The 17765-nt window shown below is 45.1% G+C and overlaps 1 protein-coding gene across 10 annotated transcripts in view, besides 3 other annotated features; it reads left to right on the plus strand.

Annotated features, from left to right (window-relative positions):
• MSI2 (musashi RNA binding protein 2) overlaps nt 1-17765 on the plus strand; it is a 445731-nt gene that overhangs the window by 73672 nt on the left and 354294 nt on the right. The window lies entirely within an intron of this gene.
• Nucleotides 9044-9211: a silencer, noted in NCBI's record as "fragment chr17:55415927-55416094 (GRCh37/hg19 assembly coordinates)". NCBI's record gives its function as "represses an EF-1alpha promoter that drives an FKBP-Casp9 reporter gene in an ReSE screen in K562 erythroleukemia cells {active_cell/tissue: K562}" and the evidence as "EXISTENCE:reporter gene assay evidence [ECO:0000049][PMID:32094911]".
• Nucleotides 9044-9262: a biological region, named in NCBI's record as "ReSE screen-validated silencer GRCh37_chr17:55415927-55416094".
• Nucleotides 9113-9262: an enhancer, noted in NCBI's record as "active region_12429". NCBI's record gives its function as "activates an Ori minimal core promoter by ATAC-STARR-seq in GM12878 lymphoblastoid cells {active_cell/tissue: GM12878}" and the evidence as "EXISTENCE:reporter gene assay evidence [ECO:0000049][PMID:35858748]".

Here is a 17765-nt window from a genome sequence, read left to right on the forward strand (position 1 = left end):
TGGGCCAGAAACTCATAGTGGGGTTTTACTAGGATGTAACTGTGGGTGTTTGTGTGGGGAGGGTTAGGGGGTGTGTGTCACTGAGGGTATATAGAGGTTTTCTCAAAGACTTATTTACATGAGTTAGTGAAAAAAGGTTTGTCCTTCTTCTCTCCCTCTTTCCCCGGTGTTTGAGTCCCTTGTGAGGAGCTGATGTGCACGATGAATTCATCTCAGCCAGCAGGCTGTTTAAAGTATAATCAAATCAGAACCCCTGTTTTCCGAGTTACGTAATTTTGCAGAACGGACACAGAGGCTCCTGGGAAAAACTGCCTGTCCGCCTGTTAATATTAAGGTCCATTTATAAAATTAGAAGCTATGTTGAACAGATGAATCTGAAATGGAACTTGCCTATTAAAGTTTTTTGTTTTTGTTTTTGTTTTTTTTTTTTGGTCAGATAGCCTTATTTAACCTTTCTGTGTCTCAGAGGTTGGTGGCCTTTGCCTATGGTGCCTTCATGGAAAAAGTTCTAAATATAGCTCCTGTTTGTTGTTGAATAATGACTTGCGAGGGCGGATGGTAGAGTTTCCAACTTCTTTAAGTCAGCAAACTGGACAAGAGGGCATCTAGTCCGAAGGAAAGCCATGTGCCTGAGTGTTCAGCACTGCTGCTGTTTTTACTGTGGTCCTGGGTTTAGTGGATGTTCAGTACACTGTGCCTGTCTCTCTTGATTGTCCTTCTCCTCCCAGTTTTTACCTCCAAAAGCCTGTAACTTTTTCTTTTTTTTCTTTTTTTTTTTTTGAGACAGAGTCTCACTCTGTTGTCCAGGCTGGAGTGCAGTGGCGTGATCTCTGCTCACTGCAACCTCTGCCTCCTGGGCTCCAGCGATTCTCCTGCCTCAGCCTCCCTAGTAACCGGGATTACAGGTGCTTGCCGCCGGCTAATTTTTGTATTTTTAGTAGAGATGGGGTTTCGCCATGTTGTCCAGGCTCGTCTTGAACTCCTGACCTCAGGTTATCTGTCTGCCTCGGCCTCCCAAAGTGCTGGGATTATAGTCGTGAGCCACTGTGTCCGGCCTCCTTTAATTAATTCCTAACTTGTAAAGGGTACCTGCATGATTCAGATCCTGTGAAGACTTTTGTCTCTCAGGCGTTCCGCATCCATAGACCCTTGGCCATTATCCTAACAGAGTGTTGAAGTGGGTGGATGGTTTCAAAAAAAACACTTGGGTTTCATTCTGTCTGTTTCAAGGAAGCATTGTGCAGTGGTAGAACGAGCACCACAGCTGGGGTGGCACCCTGGGGTTCAAGTTTCTAGTGTATGTGACCTTGAACAAGACTTCAGTTTCTGTTCTCGGTAAAATGGGGGATTAGATTATATTCCTGGCCTTGCCCAAAGAGGTTTTATTCTTTTTTTTTGTGTGTGTGACGGAGTCTCACTCTGTACCCCAGGCTGGAGTGCAGTGGCGCCATCTTGGTTCACTGCAACCTCCACCTCCTGGGTCCTAGTTCAAGCAATTCTCCTGCCTCAGCCTCCCGAGTAGCTGGGATTACAGGCACGCACCACCATGCCCAGCTAATTTTTGTATTTTTAGTAGAGACAGGGTTTTACCACGTTGGCCAGGCTGGTCTCGAACTCCTGACCTCAGGTGATCCACCCGCCTCGGCCTCCGAAAGTGCTGGGATTACAGGCGTGAGCCACTGCGCCTGGCCATGTTCTTTGTGTCTCAGAGCAGTTTAAATTAAATAATGAAACTTCTTGAAGAACTGGCCCAGGACACACTGTCCAGTCTTCTGTGTTTCCACGTGGTTCCTCGATGAACCTGGAACCCAACGCAGACCTCTTTTTTGAGGCCTCTGAGCTGGGGAGGGGGCAGGGTGAGGGAGTGGGAGCTTGGGTTTTCAGTAACTTCTCTGGAAACTTAAGTGGAGGAGAGCAGAGATATCAAGAAAGGAAATATGTGAGATGAGTCGGACTGTCACCCTGGTGAGGACCATGGGTGAGCCACGTGAGGGTTGATCATCTGAATAGCTGCTGTTTTCCTTCTGCCCCTCCTGAGCGAGATCTGAAAGCTTTGAAGACTAGGACACATCTATGCAGTATAGACGTGCATGGAAGCCCCAGCGGATTCCTGAAGCTGCATTTCATGTGACCGGCATGTGACTGGAGGTGCTTGGCATGTAACCTTCCTTTGTGTTCACCAGCGTCAGTGTTCTGCGTTTCTAGGGTCTGTCTCAGAACAGTGAAGGCGTATCAGCCACCCCAAGGATCTGCCTGTTTACAGAGAATTTTTTTTAAATATTAAACTTCTCTCTATTTTGTAAGTTTACACCAGTAAAGCTGGAAGTTACACACAATATGACCCTAGCTCTTTATAGAATTGCTACTCTCGAGTTGCTTTTAGTGTTACAACCTTGATCTTTAAAATCGTACTCAAAAATATCAGTGATGACATTCATTCACCACCTCATTGTGGTCTCTTAAACTAAATGAGAAAATGGTATGGAAATTTAATAATAGAAAAGTTTGGTCCTCTCCCAGGCACTGATGAACCTTTCTCCTTTTGATGAAGAAAAGTTTGTAATTGGTCATGTTGCCATTTTTTTTTTTTTTTTTTGAAATGGAGTCTCACTCTGTCACCCAGGCTGGAGTGCAGTGGCATGATCTTGGCTCACTGCAACCTCCACCTCCGCGGTTCAAGCAATTCTCCTGCCTCAGCCTCCCTAGGAGCTGGGATTACAGGCGTGTGCCACCACATCTGGCTAATTTTTGTATTTTTGGTAGAGATGGGGTTTCTCCATGTTAGCCAGGCTGGTCTTGAACTCCTGACCTCAAGTGATCTGCCCGCCTCAGTCTCCCAAAGTGCTGGGGTTACAGGCATGAGCCATTGTGCCCAGCCTATGTTGCCATTTTTATTTGGGCTGCCAGGAAGCTGAGAGTCCAGTGTGAGAGTCACAATCTGTTGGTCCAGTTATTATTGTATTTATAATACATCCTTTCCATGGACATGATTTTCTGTAATTGTAATTTTACTGTTGGTTTTATGCTTCTTGTTGTTAGCCATCTCAGAGCCTTTGTGCAAAGAACTGGGTTAAGAATACTTTAAAAACAAACACACAATGAAAGAGAAAGAGCAAGGATTTCATGCTGTTAGCAAAGCTTTAGAATGTAAAAACTTGCTTCTCTTGAGAGAGAGAAAGAGAGCGAGGCTGATTAGCATGGTATTTAAGAGTATGGATGCAGGCCGGGCATGGTGGCTCAAGCCTGTAATCCCCACACTTTGGGAGGCCAAGGCGGGTGGATCACGAGGTCAAGAGATCAAGACCATCCTAGCCAACATGGTGAAACCTCATCTCTACTAAAAAGTACAAAAATTAGCTGGGCGTGGTGGCACACACCTGTAGTCCCAGCTACTCGGGAGGCTGAGGCAGGAGAATCGCTTGAACCTGGAAGGCAGAGGTTGCAGTGAGCCGAGATCATGCCACTGCACTCCAGCCTGGGCGACAGAGCGAGACTCTGTGTCCAAAAAAAAGAAAAAAAAAAGAGTACGGATGCAAGAGTCAGATGCCAGGGCTCAAATCCTGGCTGTCTCACTTTAGTGGCTGTGTGACCTGGAAAAGTTGCTAAACCTCTTTGTTCCTCAGTTTCCACATCTGTGAAATGGAAATGATATCCCCTCCCTCCTCATAGCGTTGCTGTGAGAATTAGATGGGTTAGTTAATACCAAAGACCCTGGGAAAGGTGTCTAGAACATATAAGCAGCCTGTAAGCTTTATCTATTACTAGCAAATGACTACTTTTTGGAATTATTTTTCCCCCCTGGAAAGTTCCCAGTGGCATTTGAGCTCTTCCTCTTCTCTCCCATTCTCCCAGCTCTGACTTTTTTACAGATTAATTCTTAATCTACCAAGCCAACTTTTCCCTGCTGTGATTTGTACCGTTTTTTTTTTTTTTGAGACAGAGTCTCACTCCATCGCCCAGGCTGGAGTGCAGTGGCACAATCTCCTCTCACTGCAACCTCTGCCTCCTGGGTTCAAGCGATTCTCCTGCATCAGCCTCCTGAGCAGCTTGGATTACAGGTGTGTGCCACCACACCTAGCTAATATTTTTTTGTATTTTTAGTAGAGACAGGGTTTTGCCATGTTGGCCAGCCTGGTCTCGAACTCCTGACCTCAGGTGATCTGCTGGCCTCCGCCTCCCAAAGTGCTGGGATTTATAGGCATGAGCCACTGTGCCTGGCCTGGTTTGTACCTTTTAAACGTATTATTATTATTATTTTAAATAAGAAAGGGAAAAAAAAAACAAAAAGATTTGCCCTCTAGGATCTGCATACTTTTTTTAGAAGATCAAGAAAAAGATGAAGTACTTTCTCTTGTCTCGAGCTACAGTGTGGCATGTCTGGCCCAATCCATCTGTGTGGTTTAGCAATGAGGGCTTTACCCCAGTTTGTCATCTTGGAAGATGACTTTGCTTCTCCATGCCTTAGTTTCCCTATAGTACCTTGGTGATCCGTTTCACTCCATTGTTGTCTCCAGGAAAGCATGGTTTCTGTCTCCTCCTGTCCTTCCCCCATCCCCAACCGGGGGCCATTCAGTAGACATTTGCTGAACACACGGATGCGTGGAGACTGAAGCCTCTGCTTGGCTGCCTTGTGCATTTCTTCGGAGTTTGAAATAAGATAACCAAAGTGAGAGTAGGTTTAGAAAAAGCCCCCTCGAATGGAAGGGTTTTTGATTCCTGTCTTTTCCCTACTCTTTGATGATGGCAAAATGCTGATAAAATCTGAGGGTTGGATGAAATGAAATAGCCCTTCAGGGTCCTCTGCCATCTGGGTAGGTGGTGATTAAAAATGGCAAGCCTCACAGCTTCCCTTGGAGAGCTGTCTGAGGCACTGCTGAAGGTGGATGTGCAAAGGGGCTTGGCATTAGGGGTTGGCTGAGGACTGGCAGGGCAGCTGGGGAACGCCTCTGAAAGCAACACTCCCCAAGATCTCATTAAAATGCTTCCTCTGGCCGGGTGCGATGGCTCATGCCTGTAATCCCAGCACTTTGGGAAGCCGAGGTGGGAGGATCGCCTCAGGTCAGGAGTTCGAGACCAGCCTGGCCAACATGGTAAAACTCCGTCTCTACTAAAAATACAAAAATTAGCCGGGCATGGTGGTGGATGCCTGTGATCCCAGGTACTCGGGAGGCTGAGGCAGGAGAATCACTTGAACCCACGAGGCGGAGGTTGCAGTGAGCCAAGATTGTGCCATTGCACTCCAGCCTGGGCAACAGTACGAGACTCCATCTCAAAAAAAAAAATAAATAAATAAGATAAAAAAATACGTCCTCCAATGGACTGAGATGGAGGAAAAGGGTTTGGGAAGAGAGACAACCTAAGGCTGGTAGGAGACTCTGAACTATGAATTTAATGGCAATTAAAGCAGAAAGACTTGAGCAAGTAGCTTTTTTTTTTTTAACCGTGCCCTGTAGTTATGATTTGTTCTTTGTAGTTAATTTAAAATAAGCATAATCTTTGTCTACTAGCTGGCTGTCCTGCCAGAATTGCATATATTTATTTTCATGACTATTTTTTTGCACTGACCAGGAATCCGTCAGTGCCAGGAGATTTCTCTCTGGACATATTTTGGCTTTGTTGGTGTCTTCCCGAACCCCAGCCCCCACCATCCCTGTCTGCCATTTCTTTGAGAAGCCAGCAAGTATGAATTGTTAGCTTTTCCTCTGAAGTGGATAATATAGTAACTGGTGGATGTTCTAGCAGCTGTGCGATGTGCTAGAATCTTAGACCATACCTGCCTTGCAGTCCTCAAGACTGTGACAGAAGTGAGCTGACCCCCACCTGCCTTTACACCAGCCAGCTCTTAAACGGGCAGGCCAAATCTGGCCCACCACCCATTTTCACAAATAAAGTTTTATTGGAACCCAGCTACACACATTTGTTTACGTATGGCCTATGGCAGATTTTTTGTTACAACAGCAGAGTCAAGTAGTTTTGACAGAGGTTATAAGGGATGCAAAGCCAAGTGTTGATTACCTGGCCATTTATAGCAAAGGATGCTGACTCCTGACATACATAATGAGCCTACTGTGTGCCAGGCGCTGTTGTAGGCACTGGGGATGGAGCAGTGAACTTAACAAAATGCTGAGATGTGTGTATAGTAGTCAATTAGCGATAAGTGCTGTGACTGAATAAAACAGTAAAGGCATGGAGACTGAAACGGGGTGAAACGGGGAGTGTTATTTTAGGTAGGATTGTCAGACAAGGCCCTTGTGAGTGCTCTTCAGGGACAGTGCTCCAGGTTGGGAGCACAGTGATGGCAAAGGCCTAGAGGCAGAAGCTGGCATGTGTGAGGAGTAGCAGGGAGGTCCAGGTAGACTATTTGGGGCTAGTGGAAGGAGCTGAGGCTGGACAGACAGGAAGATCAGATCCTGTAAGACTCTCATAAGGACTTGGGCATTTATTCGGTGTGCAAGGGGAAGCCACAGTGGGGTTCTGAGCAGAGAGGACTTCAGAGCAGAGTTTGACAAGAGAGGACTTCTGTGTAGGAGGCCCACCAGTTACTGCATGGCATAGAAACAGCAGAGGGCACGGGTAACGGTGAAGAGGGCAGGTGGGAGCTGCTGCACTTATCCAAGGGCCAGGGTGGTGGTGAGGACGGTGGTGAGAAGTGGTTAGATTCCAGCTATGTCTTGAAGGTTGAGCTATGGGATCTGCTGAAGACTGGGATGTAGGAAGTTCTGGGAAAGGACTATTAAGAGTAAGGCCAAGGCTTTTGGCCTGAGCAAATAAAAGCCTTTTCCTATGATGGGAGAAGACTGTGAGGAATAGCTTTGGAGGTGAAAGTCAGCGTTTGGAAACCTTTCCACATTCCCAGTTTTCTTCTTCTCTTACTCGTTTTCTTTGGGAAAGAGTTGGAGGAATGACTCCATCTACTTTACTGCTTCTTTTTTCGGGGTAATACAGGACTTGAATAGTAGTTAAATCACCTGTGTTACCAATGGTCTTTAAACCAAAACTGCATTACTCAATCAGGAAATATATACAGGTAACCTGCCTTTCCTTCATTCTGAGACTTATTTCTTGTTCATAATGCTTGTGAAATCTGAATGCATTTAAATAATGTACATATTTAATATGATGGCATTTCATTCTTGAAAAAGGTGTTATTAATTGGTGTTGCATCTTATGGTTGTTATAACATACAGTAATTAAAGAAATATTATAGGCATTATATATTGAGCTCTTGCGTGCGAGGAACTAAAATGTGTGTTATTTGCCTACTGCCGCGTAACAAATTACCCCAGAATTTAGCAACTTAAAATAGCAAACGTTTATCATCTCACGGTGTCTGAGGGTCAGGAATCTGGAGTGGGCTTATTAGCTGGGTGGTTCCACTCAGGGTCTCTCATGTGGTTGAAGTTAAGCAGCTGTTCTGGGCTGCAGTCATCTGAAGACATGGCCAAGCAGGAGCTTCGCCTTCCGGGATCCCTTGCAGGGTTGTTTGCTGGAGGTCTCGGCCACTCTCCATGTGGGGCCCTCCAGAGGCTACCTGTGTCTGCACAGTGTTGTCATTGTCTCCTCCAGAGCTTGGGCACCACCATTTCTTTTGGCTCTTAAAATTCTCTTCTAGGCTTGGGATTTTAACCCAGGTTTCCAGATGAGGAAACTGAAGCTCAAGGAAGTTGATTACCTTCTTCCCAACTTACAGAAGCCAGTATTAGACTAGGGCCCTGACCCTGATCAGCCTGACAAGAAAACCCTTGTTTTCTTTTCCACGGCCCCACAGAGTGGCCCATGTTTCTCAAATGCTGCAATCTAGGATTGACCCCAGGAACCCCTTTGGGGTCATTACATTTTACTTCCACTGTCTGATGGCATTGGTGTGGTCCATGCGAATACTCACAGCTTTAAAACCATCTGATTGTCTCTGAGACTCATTTTCTCTCCACTTTCTCGGCCTCTAGCCTTCACGGCTGGGTGTCTCAGAGGCTGGGCTCTCTCCTCTGGGAAGGCTGTTGTCTCTGTGTCGCTGGCTAGCCTGGGTCTCAGGGGCAGTGAGAATCCCTGGCGGCTGTCCCTGTCGTGTTTACCACCTTGGCAACAAGCGCTGCTCTTGGCACCACGGTCGAGTCCTTAGCTGGACGGTGACTCGGGCTGGGGGCTCCTTCTTCACATCATGAATTGGTCTTTTGCCAAGCCAAAACAGCGGCTGCTTGCTTTTCAGAAGGAAAGGTTGTTCATATTTATTTTTTAATTAGAAAATGAATGCATGCTCCTTACAGAAGATTCAAAACATATAGAAAAGTGCAAATAAATGAATGTTTTGGTATATTATCATTTTTGTGTGCATACGTATTTAAAAACAGAATTGGAAAAGAACCCAGAATTAGAATCACGCTGTGTTGTGTGCATGTGTATGTGCTTTTGCATTTACTAGTACTTAGTAATAATTTTCACGTGTTACTAGATGGTTGTAAAAACATGATTTTTAATTGGTGTGTAACGTTCTCTCATCTCAATGTAAAATACAGATACGTTTTAAATATACCTTACCGCCAAGGACGAGATTTGTATGGGTTTTATTTTGTTTTTTATTTATTTTTGAGACAGAGTCTCTCTCTGTCGCCCAGGTTGGAATGCAGTGGCGTGATCTCGGCTCACTACAACCTCCACCTCCTGGGTTTAGGAAATCCTCCTCCTCAGCCTCCTGAGTAGCTGGGATTACAGGTGTGCGCCACTATGCCCAGCTAAATTTCTGTATTTTTAGTAGAGATGGGGTTTCACCATGTTGGCCAGGCTGGTCCCGAACTCCTGACCTCAAATAACCCACCCACCTTGGCCCCCCGAAGTGCTGGGATTACAGGCATGAACCACTGCACTGGCCTGTTTTATTTTATTTTTTGAGACAGTCTTGCTCTGTCGCCCAAGGCTGGCGTGCAATGGCACGATCTAGGCTCACTGCAGTCTCTGCCTGAGACCATAATCTCTGCGGTCTCTGTCCATGAGACCATAAATAAAGAATAAGGAGCTTGGCAGGCCCCACGCAGACTTGTTGCATCCCAGTTGCTTGGGGACCCTGAAGGCTGCATAACTCGTAGCCGGGTCTCTGCCTGGAGGAGCGGGCTGGTGTTAATTCACTGACCCGGGGAGCTGTGCCTGCCTGTCAGCCTCTCCATCTTGTTGGTGCTGAAAACCTCTCTTCCTCATTTTGGTCCCTGCTATGGCTTTTTATTCAAGGCTGTGGTTTGAGTTCTACCACAAAGCAGATAATGTGGCATGAGCAGCTCACGCAGGGACTGCCCTGCCTCCCTGTCTTCACCTACAGGGGCTGCCGAGATGGGGAAGGGCCCCACCCCTGAGTTCCCCTTTGTCTTCCTTGTCTCCTTTGCAAGGAGAGTCCTTTATTTGTTCTTTTAATGCAACTGGCCTCTCTGAAGAGGCTTTCCAGATCAATTTGGCTTGTCAGGGGTGCCAGGCTTAAGTTTTCAGGCATCTAAAGAAGTGGTGGGGGAGAGGGGATCAGACTTTTCTTTCTCTTTGTGGCTTTCAAAAGAAAATCACGGACGTTAAAATAAATGACGCAAATATCTGTATTTTTTGTATCAAAGAGACAAATGGCATAAATGCAGATTATAGGGTATTCCTTAGAACTGTCCATCACACAGGAGCTCCTGGGAAAGGCAAGCAGCCCGCGAGGCACCACCCGGTTTCACTGAGCAGAGGGTGAGTGGTGGCTTCGCGTTTGGGCAGCCTCCAGGGGGTCGGCATATTTAGATCATCGTCTCACGGATTGATTCAGGATTGTCTTAAAAGCCAACTCGGTTTCCAAGTGTTTCATTCTTGCATGCACGCTTAAGAAAGTCAAAGCCATTTCCATTGTCTTCTGTTTGATCTGCACTGACCATCCTTCAGCTCCTGCCTCCACTTGCGTGATGCTTTCTCTTCTGGTTGAAGAACTGGCAGCGTTGGTTTGGGCTGCTCCTCCCTCCCTCGGGCCCCCTCCCTGTGGCACGGACTTGCCCTGCTGTCGTGGATGATGGTCTGTGTGCAAGGGGTTGAGTCCCGTTTGCCATGCTCCTGGTGTTTCTAACTTCTCAGCCTTTCGTTTCACACCCTGCCATGATGACAGTATATCCATTTTTCATTCTTTGGGACATTTTCTCTCCAAGGAAAGATGCTCATGCACGTTTGCAGTGGGTGAACTGTTGCCTTCCTGTGATCAGTCATTGGTAGGGCTGCTTCTGTGTCTCCACCCGTGAGTCTCCATCACCAGTTGAGGACCTTTGGGTCTCCTGACTCCCAGAAACTTTTCCAGCTTCCCATGGTCTGTGCTTAGGGTGTATTCTGGGCCATGGCCTCCTGGAAAACCATTTTCCCAGCTGAGATGGATTCCCCAAGGTCCCTGGCCTCCAGTGTGGCGGTCCCTCAGAAGCTCATCAGTGACCGGGAATGGAACTGACTGCTATAAAGTTGTGAGCCTGCCCAAAACTGGGCAGCAGAGGTGTTGGAATTCAGCCCACCTGGGCTCAAGTGTGGGTTCCAGCCCTTCCTAGCTTGTTGACCTTGAGTGATACTGACTAACATTTCTTGACCATTTGCCCTAGGTTGGCTTACCTTAACTCCATGATGTCTCATTTAGTCCTCACAGTAGCCCTCTGAGAAAGGTATTATTCTTACCTTACTAGGCTTCAAAGAGGCTCAGATCCATGGAGCTAGTAAGTGATGGGCCATTGTGCAAACCCAAGGAGTCGGCCTCCAGACGCACCTCCTCCCAGCCACTACACTGCACTGCCTTAACCCTTGTGCTGTACTTAACCCTTTTGCCAGTACAGCCAAAGGTTCATTTCCCAGAGCCTCCACTTCTGCATCTGCAGAATGGAGGTACAGTGTCAACACTGCAGGGCTCTTTGGAGGCTGAAATGAGATGAAATATAATGGATCAAGCTCTGGCACTAACAAATATTAGTTCCTTCCTTTTGTTGCCCTGGAACAAAGGGTGGGGCATGAGAAATAGAGGGGCATTGATGTTCTGCCTGGCAACCTTGATTGTAAAGAGGGCAGGACAAGGAAGGGAAAATGTAGAGGATCCCCATCATTGTGGCTGAGTCATTTTACCGCAGAAGCCTCCCCAGCAATGGCCTGTGGTTCTGGGGGATGGGAGGGTGGTGTGACACTGGGAAGTGTTGTCAGGTAGACACTTGAGTCTTGATTGGGATAGAGATTGGGTACTTGACCTTCTGACTCTGGGGTAGACATGGGATTGGGCCATGGGGACCACGCAGGTACACTCTCTGCCGATTTCCAGCGTGCCAGACATTCTTATCAGCGCATCTGAGCCCAGCAGCAGGGAAGCCCAGTCCCTGGTCACTGTTTGCATCTTGGCTGCTCCTCCTTGGCTTGAAGCCCTGGCAGTTGCACCTGCAGGGAGCCTCAGCAGGAATACAGGTTCACCTCCGACCTGGGATCTGCATTGCTCCCCCGGTATCCATTCTGTCCTGGGGTGTGCTCAAGTGCAGGTCCATGTAGACAAATTCAGATGCTGCCCCAGGGCTGGTGTGAGAGAGCTGCTGCACCTTTCCCTAGCCCTCTTCTTTTAGAACATGGATGATATGAGAGTAGAGAGGGGCTCCCCAGTCAGAACCAGGGCTGGGGTGGGCCAGGGAAGGAGGTCAAGTCAGGACAGAGCTGGGAAGGATGCTGGCAGCTCAGTGTGGCCCCAGCATCACCTAGGAACGTGTCGGAAATAATCTGCATCTTATCCAGCTCGCAGTGGTGTGTGTGCAGAAGGAGGTCTGAGAAGAACTGGGATGTGCCCTTCTACCTACCCACCTGCATTTAAAAGAAAGGTAATCACGTATTTAGAAGATGGAAGTGAGTTAAGTGTAACTAAAGTGGGGAAAAACCAAACAGTGCCTGAGTGAGAACTGGAGTTGGGTACATCCTGGGTTGGTCCTCACACTGCCGCCTGGCTGGGGACCCTGTACCATCTAAGGCCAGGATGTCCTGTGTACGACCAGGTTCCTATTGTCAGTCTGTTGGCCCCTCTGCCAAGGTGAGCCCTCCTCTTTCACTCCCTGGTACATTGTGCTGAGAACATGACTTTTTGGGAGAGTGTTTGTAGCAAGTGGTAGCACTACGTAAATAGCTTTGTTGGCAGCTTTTGCTTTTCTTGCTTGTATTGTACACCTTAGTGTGTTTTTTCTTTTCTTGCTTTATTTTTTTTGGATAACGGCAAAATCACCGCTTGTGGGCACCGCCACAGATAATACAAAAAAGCCATTTGAAAAGAGCTTTATGTCAGCACAGAGTACTTGGAATTGAAGACCTCCAGGGATTTGCCTTTGTTGCTCAACTTTTCTCTCTCCTCTCCCTCTTTTTTTCCCCCTTTCTTTTCTTCCTCTCCTTCTTCCTCCTTGTTCTCTTTCTCTTTTCTTCCTTCTAACTTGCCATGGAACCAGAGTGAGCTACATATTGCCCTATTTTCAGCTGATTTGCATGTTAGAGCAGAGTAATTGGTGTTTAACCAGAACAAAAGAGGATCTGTTTTCTAAAAGAAAAAAGAATTTTTGAAGTAGATCCTATTGCATCTACTGCCTTTGTCTCTCCTCTCATTAGGAATTGAATAGGATGGCCCCGTAATGAGAATGTGGGAGATACTGCTTTGGTTGTGATGCTTTTTGAGCTAATTGGTTTGAAAATTATATTTGATACAGATCTGAGGGATGTTGGCAAAACACCTCTTTGATACATGGACATCCGGTCCCTCCATCAGCAGGAGGATGGGTAGTGAGAGGCAGGGTTGGAACGCTGTTTACCTTCCTGGTTGAACGCTCTGAGAGGCCACCCCCTGAGATTTTGGTCTTTCTCCAAATCTTCATGTTGGTCTGTGCCTGGATGAAGAAAGCCAGGGAGCACTGGAGGACAAAGTTTAGTAGAAAAGTTTGTAGCTCATGATTTGACTTCTAGTGTGTTTTAGCGAAGACATGAAGTTGAAGAATGACTTTTCCTCTTGTTCAGAGGAAAGTCTAAATCTGGACTAGAAAATTGAGAGGATATTAGTTAAAAACTTCCAGACTGTCCGTTCTTCATTTTATATGCAGAAATCACTTTGTCAGCTCACAGTTGCAGTCTCTTTCTTCTGGAGTTAACTGGCATCTGATGGTATCATGTCTTTTTGTGAAAATTAAGTGAATTTTTGAAGACTTTCAGTAATGTTTCAGTGACCACAAAACCATCTTAAAAAATTAGAAACCAAAATACTACTACATGAACTTCGAATGATAGAAGGGGAAAATGAGTTATAATCACATCATTCTAAATAACAGCTGTTTTAAATTTTAATGTATTAATATTACCCTGTCTTTTGCCATTATAAGTCTTACTTACATACACACACATTTTGAAATAGTCATTGATTACTTTGGGGATTGTGTTTAAGCAAATATTTATTTAATAATACCAGTTAAAGAGTTCTGTGACATTTATTCCTTTTCTGAGGTCACCCAACTTTGCAAAAGTTCAATATTATCTTGCAAAATCTGATAGCAGATTTTAAAAAAAGAGACACGGGTCATGATGACTTCTCTCAGAAAATGTGACTACAATCAATTTTGCTGTCTGTACGTTTGTTTGTTACTTTATCTTTCTGCACAGCCTGTGAGGTAGGGAAGGGTTAAGCCCTCTTGACCCACTTTGCAGATGAAATGGAGCTAAGCTTAGAAGGAGGACAGCAACTGAGATGAGCAAAGTTCGAAGCCAGGAGGTGCAGTCCCCAGCTTTATCTACCAAGTCAACTGTCTTTCCTTCTCTCCCTTTTGCTTTTTTTTTTTTTATTTGGAGGTAATTTAAAACTTACAGGAAAGTTTTTAAGGATAAGTTCAAAGAACATCCTTGTATGCTCCACTCACATATATCCTTTATCAGCATTTTACCCTCTTTGCTCAATCAGTTGCTCTCTTTTTCACTAATAGGGTTTTTTCCTTGAGTCATTAGGGAATAATTGTACGCATTGTGACCCTCCACTCCTAAATACATCAGTGTTCCTAATGGGGATATTCCCTTACCAACTTCAGTCCAGTTATGAACTTCAGAAATCCAGCATTGATACAGTGCTTTTATGTAATCTACCATCTGCATTTCAGTTTTATCAATTGCCCCAATCTGTCCTTTATAGAATTCTTTTTCCCTCAAGTACAGGATACAATGGAGGATCAGGTATAACATTTAGGTTTTTTTGATGACTCTTTCGTCTGCTTTAACCTGGAATATTTCCCTAGCCTTTCTTTGCCTTTTATGACATTGCCATTTATAAAGAATACAATCCTCCCCCACCTTTTCCCAATAGAACATTCTTGTCTAGTATTTCCTCATGACTAGATTCAAGTTATGCTTTCCTGGCCAGAACACGACGTAAGTGTTTTTGTGTCCTTCTCAGGGTATCGCATCTGGAGCACTTGATGTCCATCTGCCTCTCTTTGATCACCTGGTCAAGGTGTTGTTAGATTTCTCCACTGTATAGTTACTATGTTTTGTCTTGCAACGAAGAAGCAGTCTGTGGGGAGATGCTTTAAGATGTTCCTCATGGAAGTTTCCTCTGAAAGCTAGCATTCACTGATGATTCTTGCCTGATCTAGTCTTTACAGCAATGGTTACAAAATAATTTTCTAATTCCTACATCCCCTCTTTATTTACCACTTGGCCCTTGGCATCTGCGGTAAGCAAGATCCCCTCCTTCTTACCCACTAATTTTAAAATCTATTTCTTATAGATATGGACCCATGGAGTCCTAGTATTTCAATGGCTTATAATCATTACTGTACATAACAATTTTGGTGCTCAAATTGGCCCACACTTGGCCAGTGGGAGGCCCTTCATTCTGATTCCCTACAACATGATCCTGCGCCGGAGTTTATTTTTAAGCACTTCTTTACTTTCTGGCATAACAAGGTGTTCCAAGCTCATCTTGTGTCTCCCCTGCTCCAGACCTGGAGTTACTCACTTCTCCAAGGAGCTGGTTTCTTGTAGTGGGGATTGCATTTAGAGACCAAGATAAGAAGGTTACTAGAGCGTCTTTGCTCAATGTTACTGGAGTGTCTTCGTCTCTAGGCCATTTCAGTGGAGAGATATAGGAAACATGAGTGTACACATATACACACAGATACATGGGCATGTCCATGCATCATATACATACATATTTTGGAAATCATGGGTTCACACCACACCTCCAAGTTTGCTCAATCCACACTTACTAGTTTGCTCAATCCTTAATACGTCTAAAATAGAGCCAGAGTGGCTTGCCCATTCCACTACAAAAGACTGGCCTACCCGAGGTGGGTGGATTACGAGGTCAGGAGTTCGAGACCAGCCTGACCAACATGGTGAAACCCCGTCCCTACTAAAAATTCAAAAATTAGCCGGGCATGGTGGCATGTGCCTGTAATCCCAGCTACTCAGGAGGCTGAGGCAGGAAAATCACTTGAACCCGGGAGGTGGAGCTTGCAGTGAGCCGAGATTGTGCCACTGTACTCCAGCCTGGGCGACAGGGCGAGACTCCGTCTCAAAAAAAAAAGGCCTACTAAAAAGGAAGGGTTCAAGGCTTGTTTGCATTTCTCTTGCATCCGACAACCACCCCCATCCCAGCTAAAGACCTAGGGTGCATAGTTCAACCGTGTGTTCCTCAGTCATTTGGATTACCTCTTCCCTCCCTCCCACCTGCACTGTGGTTATGGTTTGCTGTCAGTTTCAGGGTTTTCTTCCTTTTCCCTTCCCATCCTTGTTAATTTAATTTTATTTAATATATGGGACATTCATGTGTGTTTAAAAGTTTACTGAGAGAAGCCCTGCTGCCATATCTAGATCTCTCCTTCCCTGTTTCCCAACCCCTGAGAGGTAACCAACCTCACCCTTTTCTGATTTGTCTTGTGTTTCTTTTTGTAAAGATAAACAGATATATGTATATTTTCTTATTTCCCCTTCTTATATAAGAGGTAGTGTAGCATATACTCTTTAAAGCATCTTATTATTTTTAAAAATTAACTAAAGTCCAGCTGGATGTGGTGGCTCTCGCCTGTATTGGGGACTGAGGCGAGTGGATCACCTGAGGTCAGGAGTTCAAGACCAGCCTGGCCAACATGGTAAAACCCTGTCTGTGCTAAAAATATAAAAATTACCCGGGTGTGGTGGTGCATGCCTGTAATCCCAGCTACTCGGGAGGCTAAGGCAGGAGAATCGCTTCAACTCAGGTGGTGGAGGTTGCAGCGAGCCTAGATCACACCACCGCACTCCAGCCTGGGCGACAGAGTGGGACTCCGTCTCAAAAAAAAAAAAAAAAAATTAACTAATGCCTGACTTTATTCCAATTTCCCTAGTTTTTCCTTACTGTCCTTTTTCTGTTCTAGGACATCATTTACATTTAATAGCCCTGTCTTCGTAGGCTCCTCTTGCTTGTAACAGTCGCATCTTATTTTTTGAAATGTATCAATAGGTAGGTAGCGGTTGAACAAGACGGAGAAAGAGAAGGTGAAAGGTGAGAGATGAAAAATGTTAGGTCCATATCCTGCAAATGTTGTTATTTATCACTTCTGTGATTTTCTCTATATCCACCTGCTACATGTATTATTATTTACTTAATACTTTTCTTTTTGTTGATTTATTTTATCACCATAAAAACATTTTGTAAGAAAACTTTACATCATTACTATAAATGAGAAACCACTTGCTCACTTGTATTTCGTGAGAATTGCATAGAAATTGCAGCATTTTGAAGTTTAAAAAGTTTAACAGCGAAGTAACCCCTTCTCATCCTTATTTTTAACAGGACTTGAGACATGTAAATAACACATTTTGGGGGGGGGGGTCTGATTTTTTTCTTAATGAAGATGTAAACCCATGGAATTCATTGATCTACCCCTTTGCTCTGATAATGTGCAGTAAACTGAGGCTGAGCCTTCCGGGGGTTTGAGAAAGAGCTGAGTCATATGGGGAAATAAAATAAAAATGTGAATAAGTGTAGTCCAAGCTGGGTGAGTTAAATGCTTTGAAGAACAATAAATAATCTTTCTTTTTTTGTTGTTTAAATCATTAGCAGAACATTTTGCAAAGTGTCTTTCTTTCTTTTCTTTTTTTTAGACAGGGTCTCACTGCATTCTGACTGAATGCAGTGGCACGATCATGGCTCATTGTAGCCTCAACCTCCTGGGCTCTGGCGATCCTCCCACCTCAGCCTCTTGTATAGCTGGAACTACAGGCACACGCCACCATGCTTGGCTAATTTTTCTATTTTTTGTAGCGATGGGGTTTTGCCATGTTGTCCAGGCTGGTCTCAAACTCCTGAGCTCAAGCAATCTGCCTGTCCCGGCCTCCCAAAGTGCTGGGATTACAAGTGTGAGCCACTGTGCCCAGCCAAAGTGTCCTATTTTTACAAAACCTAAACAGAATAGGTAATCGAACAGAGTAGGGCTAAACATATATATGTTTGTGTGTGTGCACAGTTTACATTTACTCTGGTTATCTTTAAGATAATGCCTTAAAGATTCAGGGCTGCATCTTAGGCAGATCAAACACATATCAGTTATGCTTATGTCTTTTCATGGAGTTCCAAATAGAAAATTTCCCAGCACTCTACTGTAGTGACTTCTTAATTAAGCAGCTATTAGTTAATACCCTTCCTCACCATTGTTCCTGGAAATGAGTTCTAGAAGCCCTGGCCCTTAGGTTGCCATAGATAATAAGGATGCAGTGTGTTTCAGACTAGCATTGTAGAAAGAAGTGGGAATTATCAGAGC

The sequence above is a fragment of the Homo sapiens genome, chromosome 17 (assembly GCF_000001405.40).
Source record: "Homo sapiens chromosome 17, GRCh38.p14 Primary Assembly".
Classification (NCBI taxonomy): domain Eukaryota; kingdom Metazoa; phylum Chordata; class Mammalia; order Primates; family Hominidae; genus Homo; species Homo sapiens.